This window comes from Homo sapiens, chromosome 5 (genome assembly GCF_000001405.40).
Source record: "Homo sapiens chromosome 5, GRCh38.p14 Primary Assembly".
In the NCBI taxonomy this organism is placed as follows: Eukaryota; Metazoa; Chordata; class Mammalia; order Primates; family Hominidae; genus Homo; species Homo sapiens.
This window is the reverse complement of record NC_000005.10, coordinates 33545333-33569997: the sequence shown is the minus strand read 5'-3', so window position 1 is coordinate 33569997 and position 24665 is coordinate 33545333. Positions and strand designations below refer to the sequence as shown.

Genomic DNA, 24665 nt, shown 5'->3' with positions numbered 1-24665 from the left:
ACTGATACCCTTTCTTCCAGTTGATCACATCAGCTCCTGAGGCTTCTGCATTCTTCACGTAGTTCTTGAGCCTTGGCTTTCAGCTCCATCAGCTCCTTTAAGCACTTCTCTATATTGGTTATTCTAGTTATACATTCGTCTAAATTTTTTTCAAAGTTTTCAACTTCTTTGCCTTTGGTTTGAATTTCCTCCTGTAGCTCAGAGTAGTTTGATCGTCTGAAGCCTTCTTCTCTCAACTCATCAAAATCATTCTCCATCCAGCTTTGTTCCATTGCTGGTGAGGAACTGCATTCCTTTGGAGGAGGAGATGCACTGTGCTTTTTAGAGTTTCCAGTTTTTCTGCTCTGTTTTTTCCCCATCTTTGTGGTTTTATCTACTTTTGGTCTTTGATGATGGTGATGTACAGATGGGTTTTTTGTGTGGATGTCCTTTCTGTTTGTTAGTTTTCCTTCTAACAGACAGGACCCTCAGCTGCAGGTCTGTTGGAGCTTGCTAGAGGTCCACTCCAGACCCGTTTGCCTGGGTATCAGCAGCGGTGTCTGCAGAACCATGGATTTTCGTGATCCACGAATGCTGCTGTCTGATCGTTCCTCTGGAAGTTTTGTCTCAGAGGAGTACCTGACCGTGTGAGGTGTCAGTCTGCCCCTACTGGGGGGTGCCTCCCAGTTAGGCTGCTCAGGGAACAGGGGTCAGGGACCCACTTGAGGAGGCAGTCTGCCCGTTCTCAGATCTCCAGCTGCGTGCTGGGAGAACGACGGCTCTCTTCAGAGCTGTCAGCCCAGGACATTTAAGTCTGCAGAGGTTACTGCTATCTTTTTGTTTGTCTGTGCCCTGCCCCCAGAAGTGGAGCCTACAGAGGCAGGCAGGCCTCCTTGAGCTGTGGTGGGCTCCACCCAGTTCGAGCTTCCTGGCTGCTTTGTTTACCTAAGTGAGCCTGGGCAATGGCAGGTGCCCCTCCCCCAGCCTTGCTGCCGCCTTGCAGTTTGATCTCAGACTGCTGTGCTAGCAATCAGCGAGACTCCGTGGGCGTAGGACCCTCCAAGGCAGGTACGGGATATAATCCCCTGGTGTGCCATTTCCTAAGCCCGTCGGAAAAGCGCAGTATTCAGGTGGGAGTGGCCTGATTTTCCAGGTGCCATCTGTCACCCCTTTCCTTGACCAGGAAAGGGAACTCCCTGACCCCTTGCGCTTCCCGAGTGAGGCAATACCTCGCCCTGCTTTGGCTGGTGCACGGTGCGCTGCACCCACTGTCCTGTGCCCACTTTCTGGCACTCCCTAGTGAGATGAACCCGGTACCTCAGATGGAAATGCAGAAATCACCCGTCTTCTGCGTCACTCACGCAGACTCCATAGTCTCTTATTTTTTCCTTTTCGTGGTCCTGATGAGTAGGTAAGTGTCTCACTGATACTGACTTACAAATAGAAAAAGAGATTTGTAACAGTTAACTGATTTCTCTGAAGACACAATTGGATGATGAACCTTCTGTCTCTTCCCACTCTGATCTGCTATCTCTCTGGTGGATTTTAGCACCAATTGACAATTTAACTATATAAAATTCTTTTATATAAAGTAATCAACATCATTGGTCATGGAATTGACTAGAAGCAATAAATAGGTAAATTCAAACCACCTCCAAAATTTCTTGCATCAAATACTATAATTGCTTGCATTTGAGCTATGTTTTCGCTTTGATTTATGTTTGATTTCTAAAATGAGTTATCACATTTTCTGTCATCTTATCTCCATTTAGAGGTAAAGAATTCAGCTTCAGAGGTAGAAAAGGTTTTCATGCTTACAGTAAGCCAATTTGTTGAAGGAAGGAGATGAATGGGTCTTATGACTCCTGACATTTTAGTCCTGTTTCTTTCCTAATCAGTTTCTTTCCTAAGCATGCATCAGGCTTTACAAGCATGATTTTATGCTAATGAGCATAAATTCTCTCATTTAATCTTTACCACAGTGTCAGGAGATTGGTAGTATTTTCCCTATTGTAGAGGCAAGGAAACCGAAGCTGAGAGAATTTAAGTAGCTGGCCAGAATCGTACATACCTGTGAGCTACGGGGACTTGAACTCAGACAGATGGACTTCAGAACCCATGACCCCTGGCTCTGCAAGTCAGAAAATATTACCATCCTCTGTGTCTTTGATTTTATTTATTTCTTCTTTGGTCATATTACATATGAAAATAATGCCAGTTATGTGGTGACCTTGGGTATACAGATGAGAAAATGACATAGTTCACAAGAAAGTTATTTAAAATAACATTGAGGCCACTCATGGTTACTTTGAGTTCACCTGGGCAAATTGTCCCTCTATTACCACAGTGGATCCAGGCTAGATGTTTTGAAACAAAATGGATCTGTTTAGGTGTTTTTGAAGTGATAGTGTTCGGATTCCCCCAAAGGCAGTCCAGCTACTTGTGCTTCAGCATGCCCTACAGAATGCGGATGCGGAGGGAACATTGGGGAGAGGCACCTGCCAGTACCTTTCAAACAGTACTGTCAAGATATGTATTTTCTTCCTAAATCATGGTATCCCTAAAGGGCAGATAAGCAGGCCTACTGTCTTCTTCTGTCGACATAGTTTAGACAGTGTGTGGCTTCTGTGGACTGAAAACAAAGAAAACAAGTGGTAGAAGTGGAAGCTACTAATTAATTTGTATTTTGATATTTAGTTAATGGCAATAAGGTCTGAAAGCACCTACAATTAATGACACTGTAGGCCATGAGAATAAGACAGCCTAGGTCAAACAGAATATGAAAGAGTAGGCGATAAAAGGCATACATGTAGGATTGATATCAGAACCATTAAAATATGAATGACATGTGTGTGTGTGCATATGTAATTAGAAATCACACTTGCCTACACTCACACACATTAGGAAGGCTAGGCTTCTGTAACAAATAAAGCCCAACAAGTAATGTCTCACCAGAAGAGGTGTTGACTTCTCAGTCACAAGGCAATACAAGGTGATGATTCCAGTCTGCAGTGCTGATGGTAGAGGATGGTGCAGTCATTTGGGAACCCAGGCTAACAATGGCTCTACCATCTTCCCATCATCAAATTTGCCCTGGGGTCACCATCCCAGTCAATCAGAAAGGGAAAAGGGCATAGAGGCACTCCTGCAGGAAGTTGTATGCTCCAAGCCTTGAAGTGGAACAAATCACTTCTGCCTACATTCCGTTGTCTAGAACTAGGTCTCATGGCCAAACCAAACTCAGGGAAGCTGGGAAATGCAACCCAATTATGTGCCCAGAAGAAGAAAAAGGATTATGGTGAATATCTAGCACTCTCTGCCACTGACTGTAGGTAGCCTATTCTGAAGCAATAAGGATTTTGACCTATTGGGAGGTTATTGCAATAGTCCAGGTGAGGCATGAGAACTATAAGAAGAATATTCAGGATGAAGAGGGAAAAATATATCTAATATATATTTGAACTTAAAATCAGGGTTTGTAAATAATTGGATATGGGGAATGAAGAAGAGAGAGGAGAAGAGAAGGAGTCCGTCACTGACTCATTGACTTTTTTTGAGACAGGGTCTCACTCTGTCACCCAGGTCGGAGTGCAGTGGTTTGATGATAGCTCATCACAATCCTGAACTCCTGAGCTCAAGCAGTCTTCCCACCTAAGTCTCCTGAGTAGATAGGAACAGGTGCCAACCACTGCACCTAGATAATTTTTTTATTATTTTTTGCAGAGATGGGAGTCTTGCTATGTTGACCAGGCTAGTCTGGAACTCCTGGCCTCAAGCAAAATTCTGCCTCAGCCTCCCAAAGTGCTGAGATTATTGGCATGAACCACTATTCAATTTGGGTTTTGGCTATTCCATTTGAACTGACTGTCATTGACTATTCAATTTGAATCAACTGTTAAATTTGAATTTTCATTGTCTGCTGGGTGGTGCTCCTATGAACTGAAATTGTCTCTAAAAACAAAATGGTTGTATGATGACCCAGATATTCATTTTTTTCCCCATCCTCTTCACTTTTCATTCATCACCAAAACCCAGAGCAGTTGTGGAATTATGGAATTTAAATGTGTTTTAATTATTTTGTCTTGAGAATATTTAATACATGTTAATTAATTGACAAATGTTAATTGATTTAACGAGCCATTACTATATCCACGCAAATTAAGCCAAAATGAAGTACGCATCAACTATGATTACTGTTTGAGCTCAAAGGTTAATTAACACGTTTTGATTATAGTAAATCAAGATACAAAGAATTAATTCTATCTCAAACATCATTATTTGACTTTGACAGAAATAAATGGTCTTATTGAACACATTATAGCTCACCAAAAAAAAAAAAAAAAACAAACAAAAAACTGGCAACAGTGGTGGAACGATTAACAGCTGTTAATTCCTGGCAGTTTGGCTAGAAAAAGAATATTGGCTCAGATTCTAGAGTTTTCAAAGCTGTAAGGACTATTACTAGAATAGAACTCCACATTTGGCAAGAGTCCCCCCTCATGACAGGGCCTGGTGCCTGCTCTCTTTGTGCATGTTTTGAGAGAAAATGTTTAATAAATAGAACTGAAGGCCAGAGCGGTGGCTCATGCCTGTAATCCCAGCACTCTGGGAGGCTGAGGCAGGTGGATCACTTGAGGTCAGGAGTTTGAGACCAGTCTGGCCAACATGGCAAAACACTTTCTACAAAAAAAATATAAAAATTAGACGTGGTGGCGCATGCCTGTAGTTCCAGCTACTCGGGAGCCTGAAGCATGAGAAACACTTGAATCCGGGAGGCAGAGGTTGCAGTGAGCCAAATTTGAGCCACTGCACTCCAGCCTGGGTGACAGAGTGACACCCTGTCTTAAAATAATATATAATAATAATAAATAACTGTCAGAGAGGGTCAGGGTTCAGAATGAAAACTCTGAGTTTTGAGTTCCTCACTGTCCCTGATTTTTATTTCTGCCTATTCCTGAAGCTATTTATTTGGGATTGCCTCTCTCCGTAATGAGTCACTTATCTCCCAATCACCACAACTTAGAGCCCGTAGAATCACCATTGATATCAATTTGCCTCTGTCCTACAAAAAAGAAAAAAATTGTAATAGTTTTTCAAGTCAGTATCACCTCATCATTCCTGTCCTCTCCTCTTTATGTCCTCTGTTAGTCTAAGACCCAGTGGTTTCTAATCTGATGGTAGGAGGAATTTACAGATGAAGGAGGATGCTTTTGTTTGTTACAACAATGTGGGGAAGGGGCGGCAACTAGCATTGAATGTCTGAGAGGCATGAATGATAAAAGTCCCATGACATTCAGGAAAGTCCCTTATAAGGAAGAATTGTTGAGTCCCAAATGCCAATGGTGCCCAATAGATGAGAGTGAAGGACCTGGGTTACCACTCCTGCTTAGAACACCTGCCCTTGCATCCTTGCTGGTCTACATACCTCCAGCCTCTCCCTTCTCCTATCTTTTCCACACACTGTTGCACAAGACATGAGACTGCCAAATTCATCCTCCAAAAAGCTATTCTAATCATTCCAAACTCCTGCTCATAAGTCTTTGATATCTCCTCATTTCACACTTATTCAGATAAAATCTACTGCAACCCAATATCCAACAGCCTTCCTAGGCTTACATAATCAAGCTTTCAAAACATACTGCCTCCTACTTTTCTTCATCCATGCTAAGCTTCAACAGCTCAGTTGCTTTAAACCTCCTGCCTGTCCCAGTTTGGTGTCTCTATTCATGCTGGTTCCTCTCCCTGGAATTTCCTTCCCCTTCTCCTCTGCCCTTTTAAATCCTATCTGTTCAGGATCAAGCTTTGAGTCTGATCTTGCACAAAGCTTTTCCTGATCCCTAAAACAGGAAGTGATTTCTAAAGTTCCTTGGGTGTGATCTGAAATCGCTCTTGCAATGTCCTCCTGCCTTCTGGCCTGTGGGAGGCTGTCCACAGCCCCACTGGACACAGCACATTCCTTTAATTGTGTTTTCAAATATTAAGTAATTGATGTAAAAGCTGAGCTAACACTGTAAGTAGGTGTAAACCTTGAAGCCAGACTTTCTGGGGTTTAGTCCTGACTCAGTAAATTACCAGCTGTATGTCCTCACTCTACCTCATTTCCCTCATCTATGAAATGAGGATGATGATAATGCCCAACTTATATGACTTAGGAGATAAAAGGAATAACTATATGTAAGGTACTCAGAAGAGTGTCGGGCACATAGGAAGTACTCAGTAAGTGTTTGCTCTGATCCATATTTACAAAACAGAGAACTTCAGTGCTATGCAGTGTGCATGGGTATGGCTTTTATTTTGATAGAGACTCACCTCTCATTGACTTGCCTCATCATTCAGTCAGATCCCTTGGGCCAGTCAGTTAACTGTAAACTGTGTGGTCGTGTAAAATAGAAGTGACAGCATAATTTTCCACAGCATTTCAGAGCAGTGTTCATATGGTGCTGATGTGAACCCCAGCATCAGTTCTGGTTCTGAACACCTGGATGCTGACCTTTGACTTGGTTAGTCAGTCGCCACAGGGTCACTAGGTGTAATGAGCCCTCATCCTCCAGCAGGCCAGCCCAGGTTTAGTTTCATAGCAGAGGCAGGGGTCCAAGAGCAAGAATGGAAAGCACCAACTCTTGAGAACTGGAACAGCATCATCCACTGCATTCTGTTGGCCAAGACAAGTCACAAGGACAGCCCTGATTCAAGAGCTGGAGAAATAAATTCCACCTCTGGATGACAGAAGCTGCAAAGTCCCCTTGCAAAGAGCATGGGTTTAAGGAAGTATGAACGATGCAGGCCATTAGTGCTATCAATCTATAGTACTTCAGCTGTTATCTCTATTACCTAGATACATAATATGATACAAAGAAGAAAGTGGTAGAAACTTAACAAAAGAAACAAATCCTAAAGAATTATAAGGAGGAGAATATATTACCTCTATAAATGACTCACTTGGAAAAGATGATGTAGTAGAAAATAATTTCTACTTTTCTCTTTCTGTGATCTACAGATTATCTACCTAAGAACTCTATTATGTTATATATGTGTTGTAACACAAGAACGTGCACAAAATGAAACATAAAATTATATGGAGAGTGAAGGCCAGGCGTGGTGACTCATGCCTGTAATCCCAGCACTTTGGGAGGCCAAGGAGGGCAGATCACCTGAGGTCAGGAGTTTGAGACCAGCCTGGTCAATATGGTGAAGCCCTGTCTCTACTAAATATACAAAAGTTAGCTAGGTGTGGTGGCACACACCTGTAATTCCAGCTAGTTAGGTGGCTGGGGCAGGAGAATTGCTTGAACTTGGGAGGCAGAAGTTGCAGTGAGCCAAGAACATGCCACTACACTCCAGCCTGGGCTACAGGGTGAGACTCCATCCCAAAAAAAAAAAAAAATTATATGGAGAGTGAAGTTACAGCAAGAGAAACTTAAGTCTGGTCTTTATGTACAGCCTATCAAAAGAAACCTTCAAGCATGTCATAGATGGAACTTCCACCCTGTCTTTTTTTTTTAGTTCAGCACTTTGTTTTGCTCATCCAGAAACAGCCCCTTTTAGTGAGGATGAGCAGGGGAGAGGGGATGCAAGAAAAATCAGTTACAGGAAAGAATCAGGCACACAAAAGGGAACAAATTTTGTGATGGACATTTTCATGGTTTTCAAAGTGACCCCCCGCTAAACCTGAGATATTTAAGAATTATAAACAAACAAAAACACTTTGAGGGGAATGAGCTGTATGTGTGGCAAAGGCGACTGAGTTCTTCACCACCAGTGGATTGAGGGATGAAAAGCATCATGCTGTAACATCTTTCTAACTCCGAGTGTGATCTGAGGACCAACAGCATCAGCAGCACCTGGGAGCTTGCTAAAAGGCACAATCGCCTCCCCTCCCCAGACCTACTGAATCAGAATCTGCATTTAGCAAGGTCCCCAGGTGATTCATATGGTCCCTAAAGTTTGAGGAGCACTACTGTAACAAATATTTTCCTGGGTTTTAGAGACAGAAAACCCTTTGGGCAGGTCAGCTCTCAAAGCCTGTTTCTTCATCTACACCATAATGATACCAGACTACAACTCAGGTTTGTCATGGAGAGAAATAGGTGAGATAGTATCATTCAGTGTTAGGGAGGAGAGGCAAGGGGCAGACACCTGGACCTGACATCCACTCTGAACAGCATTGGTAGGAAATGTGGCAGCTTGCCTGCAGCCCCCTGGGCAATCATGCCAAGATAATTAATGTTGTTTTCTTTTGAGACAGGATCTCACCCTGGCACCTAGGCTGGAGTGCAGTGGTGCAATCATAGCTCACTTCAGCTTCAAATTCCCAGGTTCAAGCAGTCCTAGCAACTCAGCCTCCTAAGTAGCTGGGAATGCAAGTATACACCACCACACCTGGCTAATTTTTAAATTTCTTTAGAGATGGGTTCTCCCTATGTTGCCCAGGTGATCTCAAACTCCTGGGCTCAAAGGATCCTCCTGCCTCAGCCTCCCATAGTGTTGGGATTAAAGGCATGAGCCACTGCCCCTGGCCTGCCAGGATAAGTTTTAAAGGGAAGCAAATTTCCATTTGCATTGAATTTTCCTTCTACATGCAAATCAAGGTTTCTCAACCGTGACTATTTTTTAAAATAAGCTGGGGAATTATTTTTAATACTGAGCATCCCCGGGTCCTACCCCAAGAGATTCAGATTAATTTGTGTGAGTGGGGTGCCCCAAGTGTTGGTAATTTTTAAAAAGCTCTGTGGGCAATGTTAGCAAACGGGACTGAGAACTGACTCCAGGATCCCAGTGATGGGGCATGTGTGAGAAGGTGACACTCAGCCTCTGTCATCTCTCTCCTTCCCTGCTACAGTGCTCCACCACATGTGGCCTGGGGGCCTACTGGAGAAGGGTGGAGTGCAGCACCCAGATGGATTCTGACTGTGCGGCCATCCAGAGACCTGACCCTGCAAAAAGATGCCACCTCCGTCCCTGTGCTGGCTGGAAAGTGGGAAACTGGAGCAAGGTAACTTATCAGGCTTGGCAGAGTCTTGGAGGTAGAGAAGGTGGGGATGGGTTGGAAAGGGAATCTTATATAAACACTTGCTAAAGTCGTTTTTTTTTTTTTTCTTTTTCTTAATTAAAGTTCTAGGGTACATGTGCACAACGTTCAGGTTTGTTACATATGTATACATGTGTCATGTTGGTGTGCTGCACCCATTAACTCGTCATTTACATTAGGTATATCTCCTAATGCTATCCCTCCCCCCTCCCCCCACCCCACAACAGGCCCCGGTGTGTGATGTTCCCCTTCCTGTGTCCATGTGTTCTCATTGTTTAATTCCCACCTATGAGTGAGAACATGCGGTGTTTGGTTTTTTTCCTTGTGATAGTTTGCTGATAATAATGGTTTCCAGCTTCATCCATGTCCCTACAAAGGACATGCACTTATCATTTTTTATGGCTGCATAGTATTCCATGGTGTATATGTGCCACATTTTCTTAATCCAGTCTATCATTGCTGGACATTTGGGTTGGTTCCAAGTCTTTGCTTTGTGAGTAGTGCCGCAATAAACATACGTGTGCATGTGTCTTTATAGCAGCATGATTTATATTCCTTTGGGTATATGCCCAGTAATGGGATGGCTGGGTCAAACGGTATTTCTAGTTCTAGATCCCTGAGGAATCGCCACACTGACTTCCACAATGGCTGAACTAGTTTGCAGTCCCACCAACAGTGTTTTTTTTTCTACCTTTCTGCTGCCCTTTTACCTCTTATAAAATCAGGGATGAGCAAATCATGGGCATTACCATAGGCCAACTTCAAGTTACACAAAAGTCTTAGAAGTACAGAGTTTTTATTAACCCACATGTGGTAACCCACCTGTCCTTTCTCTTACAAGATAAACCAGAAAAGTTAAGTTTGGGTTATTAATTGCTTCTCCAGCATGCAATGCTATTTCTATATTACTTCAATTTAGCATTTTAATGAATAATCCTATATTATCACGGATATAATTAAATCATGAATCACCTGTGCTTTACAAAGCGAATATATGGCTTAATCTTCCAGACCCAAAATGAAACAAAAGCTGAGATATAAAGAATAATTTGTTCTTTAAAAGCGTACTCCCTGCACTGATCTTCTTATTTATTTTTATTTTTATTTTTTTGAGATGGAGTCTCACTTTGTCACCCAGGCTGAAATGCAATGGCGTGATGTTGGCCCACTGCAACCTCTGCCTCCCGGGTTCAAGCGATTCTCGTGCCTTAACCTCCGGGTAGCTGGGATTACAGGCATGCACCACCATACCAGGCTGATTTTTGTATTTTTAGTAGAGATGGGGTTTCACCATGTTGGCCAGGCTGGTCTCGAACTCCTGACCTCAAGTGGTCCGCCTGCCTTGGCCTTCCAAAGTGCTGAGATTGCAGGCGTAAGCCACCACACCCAGCCATACTGATCTTTTTAAAGTGCAATTTTACCATCTTTGCTAATCTTACTGTGATTACTCATTTTGCTGTGCTGTCTCCATAGTTCCTTGTGAAAAGAACGTATCAGGTTTTCAGATTAGTTAGCCTTGGTGCTTTGAGACACTAACTAGGCCTAATCTGCTTGTCACGCTGGACTAGGGCTTAACCAGTTCTTGGGGGATAATTCAGGGCTATAAGGCACTGGTCAGTGGTGAGATTGAGGGCCAGTTGGCAGGTAGAGAGTACAGAGGTGTGAGCTGTGCATATACCTGTTTGCCATACATGATCAACCCTAGGAAGCCTGGTAGGCCCCTGTCTTCTCTCCAGGGAGCTGGTTCCTCTTGATAGCTGAGACACAGGAGAAAGGAAAAGAAAGAGCTACCCAAGAGGTTTAGGGAAGCTGATGTCACCTCTAGACATTTGTTTCTTCATCTAGTGAAGAGCTCATGTCCCCAGACAGACAGGACCCAGAGGTGTTGCAATGGGCATTTCTGTCTCTGGTTCTCCTGGCAGACTTACCATCAGACAGGAACATGGGAGGCTACTGTCTGATGGTCGGTCTTTCGGACCCTTTCCCAAAGCAAGGCTCTGGTCTTTGGAAGAGAGGGGTTGTGAGGCTACTCCTTGAGAAAATTACCACCTTCTTTCTCTTTCTATATAATTTTTCTTTCAAGAATCGATACTGGTCTTTTTTATTTCTCTTCCAACTCATAACAAACTCAGGATCTGAAAAGGACTGAAAGTTTGGCTACAACTTCTCTTCCATATCCAGAGAAATCTCAAGAAACATCTCATATCCCTGAGCTTGCCAAATGTTGACCAAGTCCTAAAGTTCCACTTTCCTGTCACTGGGAATAATCATTTCATTGGAAATTACATGACTCATGAAAAGGAAAGATGTGTGAAATAGCTTGTGTTTTGAAAAGGTCAGCTCCAGCCTGAGGGAGTCTAGCCAGTGCAAACTCTGGATGAAAGATTAGCAAGCTCATCTCTGGGGTCCGGCCTCCTAAGGAAAGCCTGGCTTGACTCCTTGCCTGGCCTATAGGGTCTCTCATGCCCCTCTCTCTCTCTCTTTCATGGCCTTTAGGGTTGCAGATATATTGATTAATCTCTGTAGTGCCCTGAGTGGTTTTGTAGGAGTTGTTTCTGACACATCATCAAATTCAGCTAGAATGAGGTAACTACTATATCTAAAATATAATCCTCAAAATTACTGTATTCCTACCAGTAAAGAAAGTGTCTCTTTTATTAGATAATAGATAAACCTTATATCAAAGATGCTATTTAACTACTGATGGTCAGTTGCCCTGATTTTTGTTTTTTCTGACCACTATTATGGGTATTGCATACATCAGCAGTCCCTAACCTTTTTGTCACTAGAGACCAGTTTTGTGATCTCTACAAAATTCTTTTTCCACGGACTGGGGGAATGGTTTTGGGATGATTCAAGCACATTACATTTATTGTGCACTTTATTTCTATTATTATTACATTGTCATATATAATGAAATAATTATAAAACTCACCAAAATGTAGAATCAGTGGGAGCCCTGAGCTTGTTTTCCTGCAACTAGATGGTCCTATCTAGGGGTGATGGGAGACAGTGACAGATCATCAGGCACTAGATTTTCATAAGAAGTGTGCAACCTATATCCCTTGCATGCACAGTTCACAATAGGCTTTGCATCCCTATGAGAATCTAATGCTGCTGCTGATCTGACAGGAGGTCGAGCTCAGGCAGTAATGTGAGCAATGGGGAGCAGCTGTAAATACAGATAAAGCTTTGCTTGCTCGCCCGATGCTCACCTCCTGCTGTGCAGCCTGGTTCCTAACAGGCTGAGATATAACAGACTGGGGGATTGGGGATCCCTGGCATACATGGCTTGTCTTTCCTAGAGATATTAACTTAAATCTTGATTATTGAGACCCCTTTTTCTAATTAATTTTTTTTTGAGATGGGGTCTCACTTTGTCACCTAAGCTGGAGTGCAGTGGCCCACTCACAGCTCACTCCAGCCTCAACCTCCTGGGCTCAAACAATACTCCTGCCTTAGCTTCAAGTAGTTGGAGACCCCTTTTTCATATGGATGTCTAAAGTCCAAATCATGTGCTAAGAAAGATTTGAAGGCCTTCCCTCTGAGCTTCGCTAATTCTGATAGGCCTTTTATGCTCTCTTTGTGGCAGACCTTCAAAATCCAGAGCAGGAAAGAGGATCCCTGGTTTTGCCTTTAAATATCCAGAGAGTTTAGATTCTGCCGAACTGATCATTTGCCTTTTCACAGATACTTTCTCAGAAAGAAAAATTCTAATTTTACCTGGAATTTTCTACATTATTCCAGCAATCTCTCCTCCAGATCCAGAAACACTTTAATTCTCATAGGATGACAGGGTATGTTGCAGCCTCACCTGAACCCACAGGTATCATACCTGAGGCATCCAGGTTACTCACCAGGAACTTCTACCACTGTGATTGCTGTCTGGATTGCAATTGTTTTACTGGCTTATTTCTCTCATACCATTCTTCTTGATGAAGCCTGATAGAACTGCTGTGAACATTTTCTCATATACATATGTCAGGTTCATGACTACACCAAAGGTCATGTTGCAGTCTGAAGGGAGTGGGTGGATGAGCAGAAAGAACACTCGGGGGCCACAGGCTGGTGAAAGATTATTTTATTCAGCAGCAACTCTCATCAGCAGCTTTTTCACACTGTCCGCCCCATCTGGGCTGCTTAGTCCGGCTCCCACACACAGCTGCATGGCTGGCTTTCCCTTGCTTTCAGGGTCAGCAGGTTAACTCTTTCTTTCTCTCTGGGCATGAGTGAGCCGAGCTGTGTCCTGGCTCCCCTCTGTCCATCTTTGCAGATGGACAACTTTGGCTCTCTCTCTTTCTCTTGGTGCAGTGTGACCACACTGTGTCAAACAGGGCAGTTATACCTTTTACAGACAACAGTGGCTTAGAGCCAAGTGATGGCCTTCCCACGTTATGGCTCCATGACTGTGATAACAAGTGGAGTTACACACCTGCACTCTAAACTTGCTGAGTCACACAGGATGTAAACATCCTACCTCGGCCTATCCTTCACCAAAGCACAGCCATGTTCCTTACAACATGACAGAGGACTGAGACATTCAGATCTCTACCTTTCCAGTGTCTGCAAGTAGTTTATCACAGTGGCTTTCCTCCTCTTCGTGCATTAATCTGTCTGAAACAAAATCAAGGTTGTCATCCTCAGGTTTCTCCCAGAGGCAGTCTTGGAAAAATGCAATTATGCAGTATTGAATCCCAGAGGGGTCTGACTTGGAATCAGATGTATCTGGCATGATAACCTACTCTGTCATTAATCTGTATGTGACACTGGCCATTCATCTAACTACTTAGGAGCTTTAGTTTTCTCACCCCTGAAATGAAGTGGATGATATTGCCTCTACTTACTTTGTAGAGGTTGTTATAAGGATCAAAAGAGAAAATGTGTGCAATGAACTCTGTTCATGATAAAAGACTAAACAAGGCCCTGGACAAACGTCGAGCTCTAGGTAAAGTTAGGGCTGGCTATTGGACATTGACTAATCTCTTGTTTCCTGGACTTAGGGCAAGAGGCCTGTGGACAGGTTAGTGAAGTAAGCCCTGCCAATGGAGAAACTGGCCTGAGAAGGTGTTCACTCCCCAGTACTACACAGTCAGGGTGCTCAAAGTGTTCCTGAACTCTGGAGGACTTGACCTACTGTGGGTGGTAGTACTGCCACGTGTCTGACATTGCATGGAAGCTTTGGATAAACAATTTTATTTTTACCATAATACAGGACTTTATAATTTCCACTAAGGAAACTAGGGCTTAGAGTATTTAAATCACCAATATATACTTGATCACAAAACTAATATTGAATAGTCTCAATTCTAAGAAACCGTCACCTGGGGGATTATGTCATTTTAATTACAGCTTTTCAGAAAGAAATGAAACACTACACAATTAATACGTATATCAGTTGTAGGACACATGCCGGTTTCAGAATGTTAAAATTTGTATGGGGGAGGCTGGGCACTGTAGCTCATGCCTATAATCCCAGCACTTTGGGAGGCCAAGGCAGGCAATCACTTGACCTCAGCAGTTCAAGACCAGCCTGGGCAATATGGCAAAACCCCGTCTCCACTGAAAATACAAAAAAACTTAGCCCGGCTTGGTACAGCACATGCCTGTAGTCCCAGCTACTCGGGAGGCTGAGGTGGACGGATCACTTGAGCCCAAGAGGCAAAGGTTGCAGTGAGCCAAGATTCCACCACTGCATTCCAGGCTGGGCAGCAGAGTGAGACCCCATCTTAAAAAAAAATCATATGGGAGAAAAAGTGATTCTTCTGATGGAAGAAATGTAGTAAGAGATAATAATGAGCTTGAAAAATCCTCAGCTGGGTTTGACAGCAAAACGATGCATCATCTGCACAGCTCCACACACTTCCTCACTGATATTTTGTCTGTTTCTTCTGAAGTTTTGGCAACTGCTGATTTGACAACCCCTTTATTACTTCAGTTAGAATGAACATTGCCCTTTTCATAGCTAAGTCTAGCAGATCTTGATTTATTTCTGAAGTGAATCAGAAAGATTTTTACTTTTTTTTTGTAATAATCTGTCTTCCCACATAGGCAACGTTGCCTTTTTATTTTAGCGGTAACTTTATCATCTAAGTTATTTGCTGGAAAGTAACAGAAAGTGACAGCCTTTCCTTATGGCCTTGGATTTCATGTATTTGCTAACTAGTCCTTCTGTCTTATTCTAGTTCTTGTCTCCATGTTTATTGAATTTTACAGATTGTCTATGGCAGTACTGCATTTTATGGACCTGAATTTTTACAAATGAATGAAATGGGAGAATAGCCTTTGTTTTGCTAAATACAGACAAACCATACTTTCATACACAGCATGTTCCCAGAAACATTTACTAAAGTCCAGTGTGCAAAAGTCAAAACCTAGAATTGTATGTTATAGGAGAGCTTCTATCCTATGAAGGCAAAAATTGAGTAGCAGAAAGATGAATCATACACTGAGTATCCCTACATTTATTTTACTGTTGATATAATTTTTTCTATGTCTAAACCATCACACTCTCTTGACACCCCTGAGCATTTCAGATTAAGAGATTCTCAAGAAGAAGTGGTTGGAGGAGTGGCAATTAAATAGAAGCCTTTAGGAGCATATAAGAAGTGACCCCAAGACCACCAATGTCCAGACCACAAGGTTCTCCATGATGGCGTCCACCCATCTTTCTCTGTCTACCCCTACCCCCTGCTCTAGCATTCTGACCAACTTACTGTTCCCAGACAAGCCATGTGGGTTCACAGTCTCTGTGCATGCCATTACCTCCACTTCAAATGTCCCCCCACACTATTTTGCCAGCCACATGAGCATTTACTCATTAAGATTCAGCTCAAGCTTTGACTCCTTTATTTAAGCTTTTCTTGACTTCTTCAGGTGAAGTTGACTGTCTCCTCCTTTGTGTCCTCACTAGATTGTAGACAACTATGGCATATAATCTTTATTTCTTCTATTCATTTATGTGAATTCTCCTGCCTCAGCTAGATTGCAAACCACTTAGGGTAGAGATACAGAGCTTGGAACATAGTAAGTGCTCAATGAAGGGAAAGTGGGGTGGGGAGAAGGACAGGCAGACCCATGAATTTTGATGCTGTTCTGCTTAGAATTTTTGGAATAAATTTTTTTTAACTTTTAAGTTCAGGGTACAAGTGCAGGTTTGCTACATAGGTAAACTTGTGTCATAGGGGTTTCTGGTACAGATTATTTCATCACCCAGGTATTAAGCCTAGTGCCCATTAGTTATTTTTCCTGATCCTCTCCCTCCTCCCACACTCCACCCTCTGTTAGGCCCCAGTGTGTGGTGTTCCCCTCCATGTGTCCATGTGTTCTCATCATTTAGCTCCCACTTATAAGTGAGAACATGTGGTATTTGGTTTTCTGTTCCTGTGTTAGTTTGCTAAGGATAATGGCCTCCAGCTCCAACCATGTTCCTGCAAAGGACATGATCTCATTCTTTTTTATGGCTTCATAGTATTCCATAGTGTATATTACCACATTTTCTTTATCCAATTTATCATTGATGGGCATTTAGGTTGATTCCATGTCTTTGCTATTGTGAATAGTGCCACAATGAACATATGCGTACATGTGTCTTTATAACAGAATAATTTATATTCCTTTGGGTATATACCCAGTAATGGGACTGCTTGGTCAAATAGTATTTCTGTCTTTAGGTCTTGAGGAATCACCACACTGTCTTTCACAATGGCTGAACTAATATACTCTCCCACCAGCAGTATATAAGCATTCCTTTTTCTCCACAACCTCATCAGCATCTGTTATTTTTTTACTTTTTAATAATAGCCACTCTGACAGATGTGAAATGGTATCTCATTGTGGTTTTGATTTGCATTTCTCTAATGATCAGTGATATTGAGCTTTTTTTCATGTGATTGTTGACCGCGTGTATGTCTTTTTTTGAAAAGTGTCTGTTCATGTCCTTTGCTCACTTTTTTATATGGTTGTTTGTTTTTTGTTTTTTGTTTTTTGTATAAATTTAACTTCCTTAGAGATGTTGGATATTAGAGCTTTGTCAGATGCATAGTTTGCAAAAGTTTTCTCCCATTCTGTAGATTGTCTGTTTACTCTGTTGATAGTTTCTTTTGCTGTACAGGAGCTCTTTAGTTTAATAGATCCCATTTGTCAATTTTTGCTTCTATTGTAATTGCTTAAGAACAAAGGTGGAGGCATCAGCCTAAGAGACTTCAAAGTATACTACAGGGCTACAGTAACCAAAACAGCATGGTACTGGTAAAAAACAGACACATGGGCCAACAGATCAGAATAGAGAACCCAGAAATAAGACCACACACCTACAACTATCTGATCTTCGAATTATTTTAAGGGTCTTATGAATGTGTTTAGCATAAGGCCAGAAAGGAATTCTTTCCATATTTCAGAAAGAATTATTTTAAGGGTCTTATGAATGTGTTTAGGAAAAGGCTGGAAAGGAATTCCTTCCGTATCCCAATTTAGTATTTGATGTATAACTTTGAGAGGAAGAAAGTATTCTGAAATCAAAACAGAGCACAAACTCAGTGATCTCATACATTTATGACACTCTAGAATGCTGGGATAGTTTAATCATCTAGTTTATCCTCTTTTGAATACCAATGGAGAAATGGAGCCTTAGAGAAGTGCAGTGATTAATCTGCAGTCACATAGCCACTTGATGCCAGGGTCATAGATGGAGTTGGTCTGTTAGTCCCCCAATCCTGTGTTTGTTAGTTGTGCTATACTTCTCTGAATACTCTGTAGAAGTTCAGCCTGGGAAGTGTACTAGGATTTCATAAATCAAAAATAGCACAAGAAAGAAAAGGTTTTGATTTCATTTTACCTCTGCCAGTGGCCCCAGTAAGCTAAGGATATTTTTCATTCTAACTCAATTTGCTGTGCAAATCACAGGAATTAAACAAACTGATGTAGTGATGTGGTAACTGGATACTATCAGACCTGTTTGGTTTCAACAGGGCATTTACCAGTCTTTCTGTTCTCATTAGCCTGCCTCTTGTCGTCAGTCTGGTTCGCAGGCTTTACATTAGGAAAACAGGAATACAAACGGCCTTCCTCTCAGGCAATAAGAAAATGAATATAACATAACAATTGTCATTCAGCACACAAAAGCAAAAGAGCGTTAGGACTGGAGTGACTTAATATGCTGTCACTTCCCTCTTGCTAACAGAATCAGAGGCTCTTTTGAAAATGGAATAGAATAATGATAGATTTAGTGAGTGTCTTCCCTTATTACTGACTTCAGCATATTAATAAATTTTATTTCCCACTGAATGTGCACATGCTCTTGACAAAAGAGTAATGCTAATTTGAAAAATAAATTTAGGAATAACAGATTATAGCAACAAATAGAAAATAAAAAAGTAAAATCTCATTTTATGCTTATGTCTTTTAAATCCCCTTTTCCTAATAAAAAGTACTCTTGTTTTAACTATGGGCTATTTCCTGGAAATTTATTTTGTCAGACAAATAGTTGCTTTGAGTGGAAGCTATTAGCATGCTTTCTCATTTGTTCTATGGCAAATTTTAAGTTTGCTGTTACTGTTTTTCTTTGTGTGCTTACTGTGTGGCAGGAAAACAAAGTTTTTAATTTGCACTTTTGGGAAGCTGTTGGCAAGTATTGCTTATTTCTGATAATCTAAACACACTTGATTTATGGAAGTACCAGAGCATCAATCTGTCCCCTCATCACATGGGCCCATGTGTTTCCAAAATACAGACCAATGTTTGAAGTCAGGTGACTTGGTGAAATCTGCCAATCAGAGGAATAAAGGGGAGCAGTATTTGGGGTCTATGTCTACTGAAAAGTCGTGAGGAATTTTCTTTCCTCAACCACAGCCCTAGAATCATGGCTATTCCACCATAGCCAGAAAGACAGCATGGTCTTTTACCCTTCAGAGAGAAGAGCCAGATGAAAATATACCTTACAGCAAGGGATACCCTTTCTTGGTGACTTGTTTCCTCAGCCAAGACTGCCAATGAGATCATTGATGGAAGGATTCAGAGGGTAAAGAAGCACATTCTTTATCCTATGATTACTGGAGATCTCTTTAGCCCACTGGGAGCCCTCCCAGCTGGCATTTTCTCATAATTCAATGTTGATTCAACAGCTTCATAATGGCCATCTACACTGTGTCTGTCCCTGTGCTAGGGATCCATGGTGTGATGCGGAACAGGGCAGGGCAGGGCAGGCTCTGCTTTCATGGCAGTGATGGATAGTAGAAAGGATGGACAAAATCAATCAAAGTTGCTCTGCAGTTTAGCTTTGTGGGATGAAAACAGAAGAGGAGCTGAGACAAATTACAAGAGAAATCACCTCCTTTAGATCAGGTATTCCATGAGAACCTCTCAGAAGAGGTGCCATTGAAAATGAGGCATTAAAAAAAAGCAGTGATGGGTAATGCAGAGAATAGAGGAAGGAACATTCAGGACATGGGAACCCCAAGGACATTGTATTAACCCGAGGAGAACCTGGGGAAGAACCTGGGCTGACGAGCACAGATGTTAGCCTCCATCCCACCTACCTCAGGTCCCCACCTCAGTGTGGGCAGTAACAAGACTGGTCAGGCCAGGTCTGGCCATGAGACACCAGGCTGCAGAGGGAAGATAAGCAGAAGGCCTATGGCAAGCACTAGAGTTCTAAACAGACCAGAGAGCAAGTCCTAGAAGCACAAGTTATGATCAGATAAAATCTTTGTAGGTCAGGGAGTGGGGAGCTGCCAAAATCCAAGAAGTCAGAGAGTCAACAAAAGCAGCACTCTGGAACAGGCTGTGCAAACTTGGTTGTAGGTGACCCAGACCCATCAGTGTTTATCACGGTCCAAGGGAAATCAGCAGCCTGCTGGTGAACCTGGGCTGCTGCACAAGGGGTGGGGTCAGAGAGGAAGGGAGTGAGTAGGGCCTGTGTAGTGGCTATCGGGGGCAAGTGCTGAGAAGACTCTCAGTGATGGCTGCACGTGATGGTGCTGCAGGAGGAATGGTGACGGTGGAGGCAAGGACAGTGTTTGCTCACACCCATGAGTCAAACCACTGAGTAGTTAATTCAGTTTATTTCCCTACTCAAGGCCCTTCATGAGAGAGACATAGTAACCTATTCTGCATCCAGCATCATAGAGAAAACCAGTATTCTGAAGGAAAGACGGACAAGGCTTAGCAGCCATGCCCACTCCTGGGAAGGGATAGGCAGGCCACTCTGCCTCTAGTGAATACTGACTTCCAGACGGAATGGCCACCCACTGGGGCAGATGCTGTGCCAGCAGGCACTCCAGCCCCAGGGTCTATAATCTCCCCACAGCTGGGAGGTAGCAGTTATGATCCCAGTTTAGAGATGGGACACCTGAGGCTCAGCGTACTTCAGTGACAGGCCCAAGGGCTCAAGACTAGCGAGTGGCAGAAACACTCCTATGCATGTGTTTCCCGACATCGGGAGCTGCTGGGGTGCCTCCTGCTCTGTGGTGTGGGAGGGAAAGCAGGGTTCACCGGAACTAGACCTAACCCCTCTTTATGACTGAATGCCTGGCGCCTCCACGGCTGAGGGGAAGGAAGGGAGGCCTGATGCCAATGACTCAGAGATCGCCTTTGATTTTTCTCTCCATACAGTGCTCCAGAAACTGCAGTGGGGGCTTCAAGATACGCGAGATTCAGTGCGTGGACAGCCGGGACCACCGGAACCTGAGGCCATTTCACTGCCAGTTCCTGGCCGGCATTCCTCCCCCATTGAGCATGAGCTGTAACCCGGAGCCCTGTGAGGCGTGGCAGGTGGAGCCTTGGAGCCAGGTAGGTCCCCCACAAAGGGAGAGATGTCCTCACACAACCTGGCAAGCCATGAATCTCTGTGTTACTGCATAAGTGTAGAAATCAGGGAAGACCACACCTGTGTCCTGCCAATGACTGGCCTCTGTTCAGTGACCCCACCCTGTATGTGAGAAGCTGAATGGGTCTAACACTTTCAGGAGGTGAAAAAATTCCACGGTGGAGACAATGTGTTATAGTTTTAATCACAGCAGTTCAGTGTTGTGTTGCAACCTGGTCTCCCAATGGATATACTGGGGAATTGGTGTCCTTGCAGGGAAAATGAACGCAATGGGATGATTTGAACAAGGACGAATCTGATGAGAGCCACTTACAGACAGAGCCTAACATGCTCTCTGAGGCTTCTGCAGTCAGGCTGGGAGAAACAGCCCTATCTTTTCCACACAGTATAATATTAGAGTTTCATCTCTTACAGCTCTCAGATCACTGTACAAATAACGAGTGTGTGTGTGTGTGTGTGTGTGTGTGCTCTCTTTATGAGGGCCCTGGCTCTGCTGGGTCTTAGTTTTACTTTGGCACATGAAAACAAGGTTATTTGATGAAGTTCTTTGGTGAAGTGTGATGATCTCATTTTTCAACAGTCAAATGTTTAAATATCTCAACAGCTAAAACATACTCCCAACTACATCCACAAATGATAGAAAGAAGGCCAAAAAATAAAAATAAAAGAGGAACCCTGCATATTTTGAGTGTGTCCAGGAGCTAGGCACTTTCCCTATGATACTTGGTTTAATTATCTCCATGACCTGGATGGTAGGCATTTTTAACCCTATTTTATAGGGGAAGAAATTGAGACTTAGGTTGAGAAACCTACCTGAGACACACAATGAGAAAATAAATGGAGTTTTAATTCAAACATAAGGCATTCACAACCAGAAAGATTTGATTGCTCATCTTTGATTGCCCATCTTTGATCCTGCTATGATGTGGAACTAGCCCAATGGGCATTGAGCGAAAAGTGAACTAAGGAGAAAGAATGAATCAATAACTATTTTGGGGGCACCTACCATGTGCCAGTGAAGGGAAGGCAGAGAATCCCAACCTGAGGCTACAGAGTTAGTGTCAAAGCCTGTGGAGGACTGAGCCCCGAGTTACTTACCACCCACCGGCCAAGCATCCACACTGATTCCTGAGGCTCTGGGCCACTAGCTAGAGTTTTCTGGGGCAGCAGCCACCACTGTCCCCTCTTCATCCTCCTTCCCCTGCCTAGTTCTTGAGTACATGAAGTGCCTGCTACTCCCAGGCTCTGAACCCAGACCTCCAAACTCTCCATATGTGCTGAGCCTGGCCTGGACCTGTTTAGGCAGCAGCTTCCAGAATCCAGGAATTCACAGAGGAGCTTAGATTGCCCTTTCAGAGAAATGACATTTGCAGGCGATCAAAGATGAGCAATCAAATCTTTCTGGTTATGAAAAAGGTCTATTCTTTATGTTTCCTCTGTAGCTTCTCGGATCGCCATCAGGAACCTGCTCCCTGAAGCCCTTCTGTTTCTCTCCTTTCTAAATTGCCCTGTTTTGAGCAAACCACAAAGTTGGTAGAGTTCCCTCTTAAGCAGTAGTAGAGATAGAAAATGTAAAAGTCAGTTGAGTACCCGGAGCTGCTCTTAAGGGATTGGGCATCTTTAGGTACTTTCCTTGCCCGTGGTGCTGACTGCCATCCTGGGAATGTTACGAACCCATCTGGCAAGCATATCGGCCCGCCTCAACTACCCTCCATGGCAGATGCATTTTAGCTGTGGGACCATCTCTACACCAGTGGTAGTCAAGCTTTATCATGCTTCAGGACAACCTGGAGGGCTTGTCAACACACAGATGGATAGGTCCCACCCCGAGAATGGCCAATTCAGGGGATCTGAGGTGGGGCCTGAAATTTTGCATTTCTAACAAACACTCAGAAGATGCTGAAGTTGCTGGTCTGAGGAGCATTTGAGAACCACTTTTTTGACCCCCTTTTCCTGGAAATTACTTAGGCAGGTGGTGCTGAATCTGTGTGCACATAGGTAGGTATGCACAAGAACTCCAGATGTGGAATTCCTCTCCCTCTCTCCTCAGATGGGGTTAAAAACAGGTTGAATAAGTGGGAAAAAAGTTGATGTTGATTCTCAAAGCTGGAATATTGTGAAGGCACTACGTTAGTTCTTTTATTGAGCAGAAAAGGTTAATTGCATATAATTTCCCTGTTTTCTATGATACTACCACACACATACTACCTGATGTGATGGACATGATGTTTGCAAGACAGCCATAATTATCTTATTGTTATCGTTGTAACCATGCTAAAACTAAGATTTTTCAAAATGCTTTTCCAAATACTCTAGGAACTTTTCAAACATTCTTGGTGAATTATTTTATTTCCTCCTTAAAAAGTCATGCAAATGAGATAATGTATCTTATAGAATTATTCTAGTAAGCAAAAACCTGACATGTTTCAGAATTGTACCCTTTTAGAAATCTGACTTGTCATCTTGAATTTATTTTGTTGTGAGTGTTAACAGCCAATGCATCTGAGTCCTGAGCAAATCCATCCATTTTATTACTCCTACTATGGACAAATTTAATTCTAAAACTTTATGCAGTGGAAAAGGAAGACTAAATCTCATTTTAATAGGAGGCAAACAAAATTGTATTGCAAATGTGTGCCCCCCTTTTGGGCTGTCAGAGATAATCATTATAAAAAATCTAAATCATTATAAAAAATCTAAATCTTCTGACTTTTCTCCTCCTTATATCTTCAGGATTTGCTTCATCAATATTTCCACCTCTCTTTAATTCTTGTTTCCCCCCCTTTTTTTTTTTAAATAGTGAGTGGTCATTGTAAGGAATTTGCAGGAATGCTATAAATTCTAATACAGATACCAATATTCCTAGTAACACTGTACATAACAAAAATGACAGTACGAAGTTCTTCACTTATCATTAAACATGTCTCCACCTGACTTTTACCTAATCTTGTCACTGCTGTGTATCAGTGCTCCAGGTCCTGTGGAGGTGGAGTTCAGGAGAGAGGAGTGTTCTGTCCAGGAGGCCTCTGTGATTGGACAAAAAGACCCACATCCACCATGTCTTGCAATGAGCACCTGTGCTGTCACTGGGCCACTGGGAACTGGGACCTGGTAAGACTTGGTTATACATACTTTTTTTACTTTAGCTTTTTTTTTTTTTTAATACTTTAAGTTCTAGGGTACCTGTGCACAACGTGCAGGTTTGTTACATAGGTATACATGTGCCACGTTGGTTTGCTGCACCCATCAACTCATCATTTACATTAGGTATTTCTCCTAATGCTATACCTCTCCCAGCCCCCCACCCCCCGACAGGCCCCAGTGTGTGATGTTACCTGCCCTGTGTCCAAGGGTTCTCATTGTTCAGTTCCCACCTATGAGTGAGAACATGCAGTGTTTGGTTTTTTGTCCTTGCGATAGTTTGCTGAGAATGATGGTTTCCAACTTCATCCATGTCCCTACAAAGGACATGAACTCATCCTTTTTTATGGCTGCATAGTATTCCATGGTGTATATGTGCCACATTTTCTTAATCCAGTCTATAATTGCTGGACATTTGGGTTGCTTCCAAGTCTTTGCTGTTGTGAATAGTGCCACAATAAACATACATGTGCATGTGTCTTTATAGTAGCATGATTTATAATTCTTTGAGAATATACCCAGTAATGGGATTGCTGGGTCAAATGGTATTTCTAGTTCTAGATCCTTGAGGAATCACCACACTGTCCTCCACAGTGGTTGAACTAATTTACACTCCCACCAACAGCGTAAAAGCATTCCTATTTCTCCAAATCTTCTCCAGCATCTGTTGTTTCTTGACTTTTTAATGATCACCAT

At 42.7% G+C, this 24665-nt stretch overlaps 1 protein-coding gene across 7 annotated transcripts in view; it reads left to right on the top strand.

The window, feature by feature from the left end:
* Positions 1–24665, top strand: part of ADAMTS12 (ADAM metallopeptidase with thrombospondin type 1 motif 12) — a 368456-nt gene that overhangs the window by 321993 nt on the left and 21798 nt on the right. For all 7 annotated transcript variants that reach the window (NM_001324512.2, NM_030955.4, XM_017009905.2 and 4 more), the window contains 3 exons: positions 8819–8971; positions 20615–20791; positions 23796–23939. In NM_001324512.2, the coding sequence (NP_001311441.1) occupies positions 8819–8971; positions 20615–20791; positions 23796–23939 (474 nt within the window). The remainder of the gene's footprint in view (positions 1–8818; positions 8972–20614; positions 20792–23795; positions 23940–24665) is intronic.